The sequence below is a fragment of the Homo sapiens genome, chromosome 18 (genome assembly GCF_000001405.40).
Source record: "Homo sapiens chromosome 18, GRCh38.p14 Primary Assembly".
Lineage (NCBI taxonomy): Eukaryota > Metazoa > Chordata > Mammalia > Primates > Hominidae > Homo > Homo sapiens.
The window spans coordinates 78,968,785-78,979,808 of record NC_000018.10 but is presented as its reverse complement, the minus strand read 5'-3'; the positions used below and the strand labels follow the sequence as shown (position 1 = coordinate 78,979,808).

The 11,024-nt window shown below is 55.7% G+C and overlaps 1 long non-coding RNA gene across 4 annotated transcripts, besides 3 other annotated features; it reads left to right on the top strand.

The window, feature by feature from the left end:
* Positions 118–3,254, top strand: LINC01896 (long intergenic non-protein coding RNA 1896). 4 transcript variants are annotated; one of them, NR_187297.1, is made up of 5 exons: positions 118–769; positions 1,071–1,346; positions 1,877–2,001; positions 2,119–2,254; positions 2,380–3,254. It is a non-coding gene; the product is annotated as a long intergenic non-protein coding RNA 1896 (long non-coding RNA). The 4 variants fall into 4 exon arrangements; NR_187285.1 differs by having other exon boundaries at positions 118–389; positions 1,877–2,254; NR_187288.1 differs by lacking the exon at positions 1,877–2,001.
* Positions 2,429–3,142: an enhancer, noted in NCBI's record as "H3K27ac-H3K4me1 hESC enhancer chr18:76736667-76737380 (GRCh37/hg19 assembly coordinates)". NCBI's record gives its function as "activates a minimal SCP1, AML or CMV promoter by ChIP-STARR-seq in naive H9 embryonic stem cells {active_cell/tissue: H9 hESC(naive)}" and the evidence as "EXISTENCE:reporter gene assay evidence [ECO:0000049][PMID:30033119]".
* Positions 6,398–6,994: an enhancer, noted in NCBI's record as "H3K27ac-H3K4me1 hESC enhancer chr18:76732815-76733411 (GRCh37/hg19 assembly coordinates)". NCBI's record gives its function as "activates a minimal SCP1, AML or CMV promoter by ChIP-STARR-seq in naive H9 embryonic stem cells {active_cell/tissue: H9 hESC(naive)}" and the evidence as "EXISTENCE:reporter gene assay evidence [ECO:0000049][PMID:30033119]".
* Positions 6,995–7,592: an enhancer, noted in NCBI's record as "H3K4me1 hESC enhancer chr18:76732217-76732814 (GRCh37/hg19 assembly coordinates)". NCBI's record gives its function as "activates a minimal SCP1, AML or CMV promoter by ChIP-STARR-seq in naive H9 embryonic stem cells {active_cell/tissue: H9 hESC(naive)}" and the evidence as "EXISTENCE:reporter gene assay evidence [ECO:0000049][PMID:30033119]".

Here is an 11,024-nt window from a genome sequence, read left to right as displayed (position 1 = left end):
CCGGGCTCGCCCCTTTATAGAGTGTCTGCGCCGCCGCCCGCGCCCCCCCCGCCGCCGCCGCCGGGCGGCCCCTCCCGGAGCGAGCGGCCGCGGGCAGGGCTCCGACCCGGCGCCTTTGTCTCGCCCGGGCCGCTCGGGCGCCGCGCCTCCTGTTCCGGGCGCGCGGGGTCGGCCGGCCGCCTTCGCTGCTCCGCCGCGGCTCTCAGCGCCGCTCAGCGCGGCGGGCCCGCCCGGGCTCAGGTGCCCCCCGCTCTCCGGACCTTCTCGCCCGGCCCCGCGTCCCCTCCGCGGGCTTCCCCCGGCGGCCGGCCGGGCTCGGAGGCTCGCGGCCGGAGCGGAGCGGAGTGCGCACGCCGGGGTGGCAGGACTTCGGCAAGACCAACTTTCCGGTTCGGAAGCGGCGCGGGCCGCGCGGCTCCTCCCCTCCTCTCCCTCCCCTGCGTTCCCCCTCCCTTCCACTCCCCCCTCTCCCCGCCCCCCAACCCGCGGGCCCCACCGACTCCGGAGCGCCCGCCCCGCCCGCTGCTGCCACCGGGCCGCCTCGCCCCCGCGCCAGCCCGCCTGGGCCTCTGCGCCGCCGGCGGCTTCTTAAATACAGGAAAGGGAGGGGACCGCAGGGCCCCGGTGTTCCCCACCCTAGTCCCCCTTCACCACGGGCCACCGGGCGCCAGCGGAGTGGGCAGCGAGCGCGACCGAAAGTTCCAACTCCACCAAACTCCCGCGCGCGGCCCACCCTTTCCCGGGATTTCGGGGATGACACGGGGGCCAGGTGAGGGGGCTGCGCACTTCTGGATCGGCCCCACACACTCGGCCCCTGGCGCGGCGCGCTCCCCGCACACGCGCCCGCCCCCTCCCCGCGGTCACACGCACGCGCCCTCGCCCTCGCCCCGCGCGCACAGGCGCGTACTCCCACCCGCGGCCGTGCACCCGCCGCGCTCCTTCCCGCGCGTGTCCTCTCTCCCCGAGCGGCCGCCAGGATGTGCCCCCGGCCCCGTCGTCGCCGCGCCCGCGCCCCTCGCCCCAGTACGTCTTTTTTCGTTTCCTAAATTTCTTATTTTTGTCCTTGCAAGTGGTCCTGTCTGGTGTGAACCGTCAGCACAGATGGCCTCCTGGAGCTTCCCCGAGTCGTTCGCTGGGGGAAGCGGGCGGTGAGCGGCCAGCCCGGGCGCTCCGCAGGCCGCGAGCTCCCGGCAGGGCTGGTGGCGGGGGTCCGCCTGGGGGAGGAATCCCCGCCTGCTCCATCGGACCCGGCCTGGCGCGGCTCGCGGCGCTCGGCGGGCTCCCTTCCATTCTAGAATCTTCCCGCTTGCTTCCCAGCCCGCGTTCTTCCGCCTGCCTTTAATTGTGTAAGTTTGACGAAGTCAGAGCTTTGGGTTCCAGGAAAAGCGCAGGAGGGTCATAGAGGAAGGGAGGGCGCAGGTTGGAGTCAGGTCCAAACAGTCCCTATCGCCACTTTTGAAAAAAAAAAAAAACAACAAAAACCCTTAAGGTTGGTTTTATTTTGCCTTTTGGTAGCGGGCGTATTCATTTAGATTTTTTTTTCAAGACAGGCAAATAAAAGGTGTTTGAAATCTCTAGTTATCCCGTTTAACACACCCATCGATGGCGCTTTTCTAGTTAAGCTACGGGGGAAACGTCTTTATCCCGCAGTTAGGCTGCGAACTTGTGCAGATGCTCAGGCTTTGTGGAGACGCTCCGGCATCTGGCGCAGAGGCGCCCGGCGGGGAAAAGTTTGCAGCCCGGGCTTTGGGGCGCGCGGGGGGCAGGAATTTTTCTGAGAAGAGAGGGGCATAGAGAGGCGGCGCGGGTGGGGAGAGAAAAAAGGAACGCAGGGGGGAGGGGGAAAAGCAGCTTGCAGGATGGGAGTTTCTTGCAGAATTTACAGGATTAAGGAGTTTGGGGAAGTCGCAGAGCTGCAGCGGAAAGGCAGGGGTCTGAGACTACTTTTGAGAAGAGAAACAACGCAAAACGATCGCTGGAGGGCCAGAGCCCTGGTCGAAGGTGCCCTAGCTTTTATGACCTGGTTAATTGTGTCTCCTTTTTATTTTTATTTTTTTCCTTACCACTACTACTACTACTACTTTTATTTTTTTTTAACCGATACACTTTGGAGAGAAGAAGCAGACACAGGTTCCCACGGCGTCTGACGCCTGCGGAGCAAGTCCAGAGCCAGCTGGACTCGCAGCCTCTGGCCCGGCGGCACCAACTCCTCACTGGGTCATTTTGAGCGCGCTGTGCCCACCTTTTCTGTTGCGTAAGGCCCGCTCCCCCTGTCCCGCAACCCTCTCTCCAACAAACCGGCACGATGTCTTTAGGTCTTTCTGGGGCTTCCAAATGCAACTGTTTAATTTCATCGATCTGTTTTGCATTTCCTACAAGGTGTGGACGTGGGGAGGATCTTCTAAGTCCCTCCAACGAAGGCAAGTGTGAGACTCTGGCCCTTTATTTGTAAGAAGCAAGCCTTCAGATTGCAGAAGTGTCGCGCGGGTCGCCGTGCGTTGCGCGAGTGGGAAGATGGAGGAGGCCGGCACGCTGCTTTCGTGGACGCAAGTGAACCGGGCGTGAAGGCAGGGTGCGAGCTCTGCCCTTGGCCCAGCCCTGCGTGGGCGCCGTCCCAGATTCCGGGCGGTGCGGGGTGCAGAGATCTGGAGAGACTTGCGGGCTCCCCAGCGCAGGCTGCTCTGGGATTTCGTTGGAAGATCCGGCAGAGCCTTGGAGGAGAGGGCCCGGGAGGCTGTGTGTGCAGCGGAAACTTGTACGAATGCCCCCACAGCGGAAATGGTGCGCACGAGTAATTTCTGCGGTGCACCCTTTTAAAAATTGACAAGTGAACAAGATCAATTTTTTAAGAAAGCAAAGGTAGAAAACAAAAGGCGTGCGACTTCTTGACTGGCTTGTTCCCGCCTTTCTTCCTTCTCTATACTCAGATCAGAAACTTTTCTTTAATTGCTCTTATTCAGTGCGACAACTTTTAATAAAAGCATTTGCATTTTAAGCCTGAGTTGCAACCATAGATTTATTGCGAAGTGACAACGTGTCTATGGAATATTTTCGCAGATGAGACAGGACATGCGCTCTAGTCGTGCCCAGATTAAAGCGACGCTGGGCCATGTGCCTGTGTAGTGCAGACTCGGAGGGGCACACACATACTCGTCACCACATGACCACTGTCTATTAATATTGTCATACCTAAACACTCGCAAAAACAAAAGTTGCTTTTCTTCCCTGTAATTAAATCTAATTTGTTAATTGTCTTTCCTCTTGCAATGTTGTTTTCATCTTGAGGTGACACATTATTATTTTGTCTAATATTATTTACAAATTAATGCTGTATATTTTACATTAGTGAAACATATAATTAGGTGTTTGGTTCAATCGGTATCATTCAGATAAAACAAAGCCTATCTGCAAGATTGATTGGAAGTGGAGTAGTTGGTTCTAATTTACCATCACAGTCACAGTTTATTGAAGCTACCTGGCCCCAGATTCACAGAAGCTAGTTTTACCTAAGGTGCATTTGATGCTTTGTTTACAAGTGTTTATTTTCCCCAACCACTTAATGCAAAAAAAAAAAAACACCTTCAAATATTAGGGCTTTCATTTCATTTTCTGTCTTCTTTCATTCCTCCCCCCACCCAAAGTTCCTTTCTTCTATTCTCTGGCCACCTCTCTCCGTTTCCTCCCCTACCCCCAACTTTTGTTTTAGGTTCTTAGAGTTAAATTCAGCATGATTTGGTGCCTCTAATGCTGTGACAAGTGACTGCTAATTGGTTCTCACTTGAGCAAAGATATTACCATACTAATATTATTATTGGTAAGAAGAGGTAATTGATAACACCACCTGCCACTCTGGGGCAATCAGGATGATAAATGTTTCCATCAACAGGAAATCTGTGCTTGGTGTGCCACAGCCCAACGCAAACAGCATGTCAAGTGCCAATTATAAAGATGTTGCTTTTCTATTACATTGGGTGGGGGTGTAGGAAACATGTAGCCAAAAATTATATTTATGGTTTTTTGAAAACGCTTTTTCCAATCCTCTGTTTGCCTACTTGAAGATAACTTTCCCCGTAAAAATAAAATGCTCTAAGTAAATAAACCAGCACATAGCTAACTGCCCTGTCCACACTGGATACAACTGCTGTGACTTCCTTTGCTTTCAAAGCTATTGGAGATAAATATGCCTAAATATTTTTAACAGATGTGAGCCGGGTGTGGAGTGTATCAGTCCATTTTGGTTACGTGCTCCGCAGCCTTCCTGTGTGTTTATTCCAGGACGCTGTGTAGCTTCACCGTAGCCATCAGAGGCAAACATTCCGTGGCTTTTTATGGCATACACAGAAACATCAGCTCACAGTCGTCTTCGCACTGAGGGATGCAAACGATGGTGAAGTACTTCTCTCCTGATGGCTGAACTGTGGCTCGGGGCTGCATGTAGACCAGGAGGGACATTTCAGCATGTATGATTACATAAATAATGCTAGCAAGTTAAAACTTTGACTCCTTGCCTATAGGGAGGCCGAAACGATTATTATTAGCTTGCATTAATAGATGCAGGCCTCAAAAGGCGAAATCAGCTATTGATAATTGCAAGAAGTATACAGCAGCTACTGTATCGATCGGCTGGTCCCTTATTCCCCTGGTATGGGAGAGATAAGAAGACTCACTCTTTAGTGCAATATAATTTCTTTTGACCTATCTGCTTGCTACAGACTTATGATGAATAGCCAGAGTGGTTAAAGTCCTTTATCACGAAAGTTACCCCTTGATATAATATTGATTCTTTATAACTAGCTCCAAACACAAAAATCAAACTGTCCACTTGACCATCATCATCATCAATATCATCACAAAGCCCCTGGAATAAAGATCAGCGCCAGCCTGAAAACGCTTTCTATAATCTTCCCGGCTAATCTTTATTTGCTGATGATGAAAAGAAAAAGAGGGGGAGGGAGAGTGAGTGGAATGTCATTTGGACGAGCACTGTATTTATATGTGTACATACATTAGGTCAAGACAAGGCGGCCTCTCCCCATGAGGAGCCGCGGTCAGCGTGGTCATCCCCCGCAGCGCTCGGTCTCCGGACCCACCCCGGGAGGCCCAGGGGTTGGGGGAGAAACAAAAAGGGCTCCACGCACTGTCTCCCGTTAGAGACAGAGTGAGCCCACAGCCTCCTGCTCGTTGGAAGTGCCACGCGTCCTCGGCGCTCAAGCTGGCCCTGCGCTCCCGGGAGCGCCGGCGGAGAGGGGCGCACGCCGGGTGGGCTCGCCGGCGTGGAGGGGCCGGGCTGGCCCGGAGGCGCACATCAAAGGCCGCCCGTGCAATGCATGCGCGTTTCCCTCAATTAACGGCATTTCCTGCCCCCTCGCTTCCCTTCATCCGCCCCGCCCCCCCCGCGCCAGTCCGGGCTGCTTGAGCGCGGGGACGAGCCTTTTCCCGCGCGCCCGTCCGTGCGAGTGCGCGCGTGCGCGTGCGCGTGCGAAGGGTCCCAGGGGCGCTCCGGATTTGCCCAGGGGAGGCTGCGAGGGTCGCCGGGCCCCGAGGCCCCGTCGAGGCCGAGTTTCGGGCGCGTTTTGGGGAGAGCGAGGCTTAAGGGTGCGGCGGGTGGAACGCAGGGAGGACCCCAGTTTCTGTCTCCTCGAACGTTCCCTGTGTCCGCACCCACAGGCTTCGACTCTGGCCTTAAGGCGCGGCTGCCTGCGGGACCCCACGTGCAGGGAGGGGCGCCCGGGCACCCTCATTCCACACGCCCCGGCGCGGGCTGTTCCCACCGCATATCCGCGACCTCAGACGTCGCGCGCCAAATGGGGGCGGGGAGGTGACTGTGGAAAGAATGTGGCCACAGGCGCGGGGACGGCAGCACGGGGACCCCGCCCCCCAAGTTTCCTCATTAGCGAGGCCGCGAGGGTTGGGGGCGGACGGGGGACCCCCTGGCTCCGGGCTCCACTCCGACGGCAGGACGGGTCCTCGCTCCCCCCGCTCCCGTCGGTCCCGTCCCAGGGCGGTGCCAGGGCTCTGAGCGGGTCCCAGCGGGGCTCGGGCACCCTCGGGTGGGCGGCGTCAGGCCCGAGGCCCGTGTCCCGCTGGCTCCCGGCGGTGGGCTGTGTCCCCGCGGCGCCCTCTCGGGAGGAGGACTGGCCCCCGCCCCCGCCCAGGTCTCTAACCCCTCGGAGGTCACCGGGTCTGGCCCCGCCTCACCACGCGGGGGCCACTTGGATGGCCGCAGCCAGAGGACGGGCCTGGGCGAAACCCCACAGCTGATTTCAGAACCGCGTCTCTCGCCAAAGGCGTCCCGCGGGGGCTGAGCGGGGCGCAGACCCGAGGCCTCCTGGACGGCCCAGCCCCTCGCAGGTCCCCGCGGTCCTCTCTCGGCCTGCGGGGCGGGGACTGTGGAAGGGGAGCGCGCGCGGGGAGCTCCTGGCGTGAGAAATGCCGCGTCCATGTCTCCGCTCGCGGCCCCTCTGCGTCCGAGACAAACCCGCGTGGGGAGCCCCGTGCTCTGGCCGTGTGCGCGCCCGACGCGGGGACGCCCCCTGCGCACTTTTCCTGGCCGTAGAGCTCCCCGGCCCTGCACAACGAGTTCAAAGAAGTTTCAGAAAGCGGCACAACTTCGATGCTACCGTTTCCATCGTTCTTGGCTTTCTCATGATCACAAATGTCATTTGTCTTGGCTCCAAGCTCTGCAAAAGTGCAGGGCTGAATTCCGCAGGAGGCTGCGTTTGTGGGGAGGCGCTCACCACAAGGTCCTTGACCGCTGAGCAGGGGACAAAGAGGGCCGAGTGTGGGGGCGGGGGTGGCTCCCGCTCGCGTTCCGGGATGGGCGTCTTCTCTGTGACCGATTGCACTGAGCTGTTGGCCCACAGATCCCATTCGGGCTGTCCTGGCAGGTCAGGGACAGGAGAAGAAGTATAAGATTCAGATAGATTAGAATCAGTGCTGTCTCCAGCATGAAAGAGAGTAGAGTGATCATCTCATTCTCAAACTGGGCCATTCTCAAACTTAGCTAAATACTCAGCAGGTGTGTCCAGGGGCCACGTGCTGGCGCCCAGAGATGCCTGGCCTGGGCAAACCGGGGGCCAGGTGTGAGGCCTCCTCGTGACCTTGGCAGAACCAGGGCCAGCACTGCAGAGCCTGTGCCGCCCGACGATGTGACGGATCTGCGGGGGTTCCTGTGTCTCCTTTGTCCCCCAGGCCCGCCTCTGCTGAGTTTTGCTTGATAACACGTATTCTGTGCCTTGGAGTGTGGATGTCTGACTCATCAGCACTTTTCTGCTTGAAATCAGAAATGGAGGAATGAAAGGCACAGCGCCTCCAGGAAAGGACGGTGTCACAGGGGCCACAGGCAGGGGCCTTCGCTGATGGAGACGCATGGGCCCCAAAGAAACTGACTTTCTTGGAATCGCAAAGTCAAAACAAGGAATTAATTATAAAAGTTTCAACTCCTGGTTGGAAGGTGGATTTGCCTGAAGTCTGGAAATGATTGGATGCTGTGCAGGTGCACCCTGCTTTAAGAAAACCTAGTAAGTCAAAATTCACAAGCTAGGAAAGTTGAAGGGATCTTTCTTTGCTCGACCAAGGATTCTTCACGTTCAGGAGTGTTCACTGCAGCTGTCTCTTAAGTAGCCAGTTCTGCCATGTGTTGTAAAATTGGCTTGCTGCGTGCAGTGCGGTGTGCAGTGAGATGCCAGTACTGCCTTACTCAGCCCGGCTTGCCCACATGCCTGGACCTTGGGAGTGGTGTTTGGGGCCTTTCAGTGAGTCGCTGAAAGGCTGCAGTTGTGTTTTATTACAGTCATTCCTCTAGGAAGGGACAATCTGCCGTGACATGCCTGCTTGTTGATCTGGGCAGGCAGCAGGGACTGGACAGTGGTGGCATTAGGCCTCCCTTAAATAAAGGTGTCCTCAGAGGCTGGGGAGGAAAATGAGAGGCTGGAAAAGGGAGCCCCAGGCAGTGTGAGAAACGCGGAAGGCAGTAAAAGTATCCATGAGGGTCACGTGGCCATGTGGAACCCTGTGATGGAAAATAGGACAGAGGGGTCCCGTGAGGCTCTGAGACCACAGAGGGCAGAGGTGGAACGAAGGCTCCCAGACCGGCTTGGATGTGGAAGGAGAGTGGGAGAAGGCCAGGACCCTCGATGCTTGGGGACTGGGCAGTGGGCTTGCTCTGGGTGTTGCAGACAATGGGAGCCTTGGGGAAGAGGGGACCTCAGTGGAGCTGCCGGAGTAGTGTGGGGTTCCAGGTCAGCCCACTCAAAATTCTGTCTCAGAGGTGCTGAAGGCCTTAAGGAAGAGCTGAGACTTGAATGTGACACACCCAGACAATAAGACACACGTGATAGGAGAAAAATACCTCCACGGAGAAGCCCGAGACACGTCCTTCCCAGGCCTGGCAGGAAGTCAGTGCCTCTAGCACAGGCAGTCTTAGTGACCTTCTCCGTTACAAAAGCATCTCGGTATTTCCCAAAACACGACGATTCTGAGTGCTTGGTAAACAGACTTGCTAATGGGAACCGTCTATTTCTTGTGGCAAATTTCAGAAAGGGTCATACTTGCTCACATATTCAGGCCACCACGGCCACCTCCTGCTCTCCAGCAGGACCTCCTCTGTGGACTCTGAAGATCCCCGTCGCAGCCCATCGCCTGCCGCATAGCTCTGGCAGGTGTCATTGTCTGTGCCTCTCAAATACGTGTCACAACCAGCCTTTATGGACCCAGGTTAGGAGGCGCCGGCCCATGTCTTCTAAGCAGACGTCAGAGCCACTGGGGATGGGTGGCTTGGAGGGTGCCAGGTTGGGATGGGAGTGATTTGAGATCACATGTGTGCACACACACGTGTGGTACATATGTACATATGTATCATGTGGTACAGTACACCATGGAATACTATGCAGCCATAAAAAGAAAGAGATCATGTCCTTTGCAGGAACATGGATGGAGCTAGAGGTCATCATCCTTAGCAAACTAACACGGGAACAGAAAGCCAAATGCCACATGTTCTCACTTGTAAGTGGGAGGTAAATGATGAGGTCACATGGAATCAAAGAGGTTGGAGGAGGTGGGGAAGGAGAGGAGCAGGAAAGGTAACTATTGAGTACTCAGCTTAGTACCTGCGTGACTAAATAATCTGTATAACAAACCCCGGTGACACGAGTTTACCCACAAAACAAACCTGCGCACGTATTCCCTAAACCCAAAAAGGAAAAAAGAATACACTGCCCATCCATTGCATGCAAGCACCATGGTCCTTCCGCCCGGCCCATCTGCCAGTACTCCCTCCTGCTCCAGACGCTAGAGGACAGGACATTGGAGCTGCCCCTCATTTCCTCCGTGTCATATGGTATTGGCACATGTCTTCCTAAGTCAGATTATTTACCTGTGCTAAGGGCTTTACAATCCATACAATACCCAGCAAGGTACTTACTCAGTTTTCTTTTAGAGATGGGTCTCACTGTGTTGGTCAGGCTGGTCTCGAACTCCTGGCCTCGAGTGCTCCTTCTGCCTTGGTCTCCCAGAGTGCTGGGATTATGGATGTGAGTCACTGCACCCAGCCCCTGGGTACTTATTATTGTCCCCTTAGTAAGGATGAGGAAACTGAAGCCACAAGAGTTGGAATAGCTTGTCCGAGGCCACTTGGCTGTTGGGAAGACGTCTCTGTGCTGGAAGCCAGGGCGCAACCGGGTTAGGTGGCGTGTCTGGGCTCCCACAGGCCACACTCAGGCCTCTCCAAATGCCGAGCTCACTCTGCTGTCTCCAGCCTTCCAGGGACTGTTTTTGAGGAGGGTGCTTCCCCTTAAACAGGAATCCCCGCCTGGTCCTCAGAACCTTCTAGTTGTTTGTGCTAAATCAGAGAAGATGAAGCGTTTGAAGAGAGGAGTGGTGCAGAAATGATTTGCGTGGAGTTTGGGTGTGGCCAGCCCTCCAGGACACTGATGTATGCTGTGGGCTGGTGCAGCCCAGGGCACAGCAGTCAGTTCCATGGAGTCGTGGACAAGTGTGGGGAGAGGGGGCCGTTCTCAGGAAATGCTTCAACCAGTGGCACCGTCACGGCTGAGCAGTTCTGCCGCCCGGGCCACAGGCTGGCCATTGGGTTGGTTCGTTCTCCCAGATGTGATCAACACTTCACTCCGAAGTGTGCAAAGATCTCAATGTGCCACAGGGAATTCGCATGAATGTGAACGTGGCCACCTCATGCCGTCAGGCACATTTGTGTTCTGAAACTGTTAAGTGGGCCATTGTAGAGAATGGCCTCTGCACTGTGGAACGTGGCCCGGTGCTGAGACCGTGATGCGCCTGCGGCTTCAGCGTCCTCAGCGCCCTCTCCCCAACACCTCCCTGCAGCCCCTTCGTCCAGAGGAAGACAAGAGGGAGCACTCATGGTGGCCGCTTGCTTTTCTGTCAGTGAAATGAATGCAGAGTACTTTTCCTTAGACAGCGGGGAGAAATAGCAGCCTTTGATGGTCAACTTGTACTCCAGTATCACAAGGGTGTGGTATGCTGTTATAACAATGGCTTTGCCACAGCGATGATCAAAAATCAGTGAACGTTTTGCGTCTGTCTATAGAGAGGGGATAAGGAGAGGATTGATGGGCCTGCGTCATCTTTGCATGCCGTTTACCTTGAGTCTGTATAGAACCACCTGGGATTTCATGTCATACATGCTGCTTTTCTATTTTCTCTTTTATGAAGAGATGTGTGTGTATTTAAAACATCACTACGCGCATATACAGATTTTTAAAGTGTTCCTATTTTCTGGGGCAGGGTGCCGCCAAAGAGGGTTCTCACAGCAGGAGAGAGGCCTAAGCTCAGATGCAGGCTTGGGAAAACAGGTTACTTAGCTGCAGGTAGCAAAACCAGACCACCCCGCAGGATCATGAAGAGAGTTTATTAAAAGGATCAGGACAGGAGCAAGATTAGGCGTTCTAGAAACTACAGACTCCTGTGATTAGAAGGGTAGAGAGAGTGCAGCAACATCAAACAGGACTTCCTGGAGATGCTGGACGAGGAGTCCTAGACGCCAGGTAGAG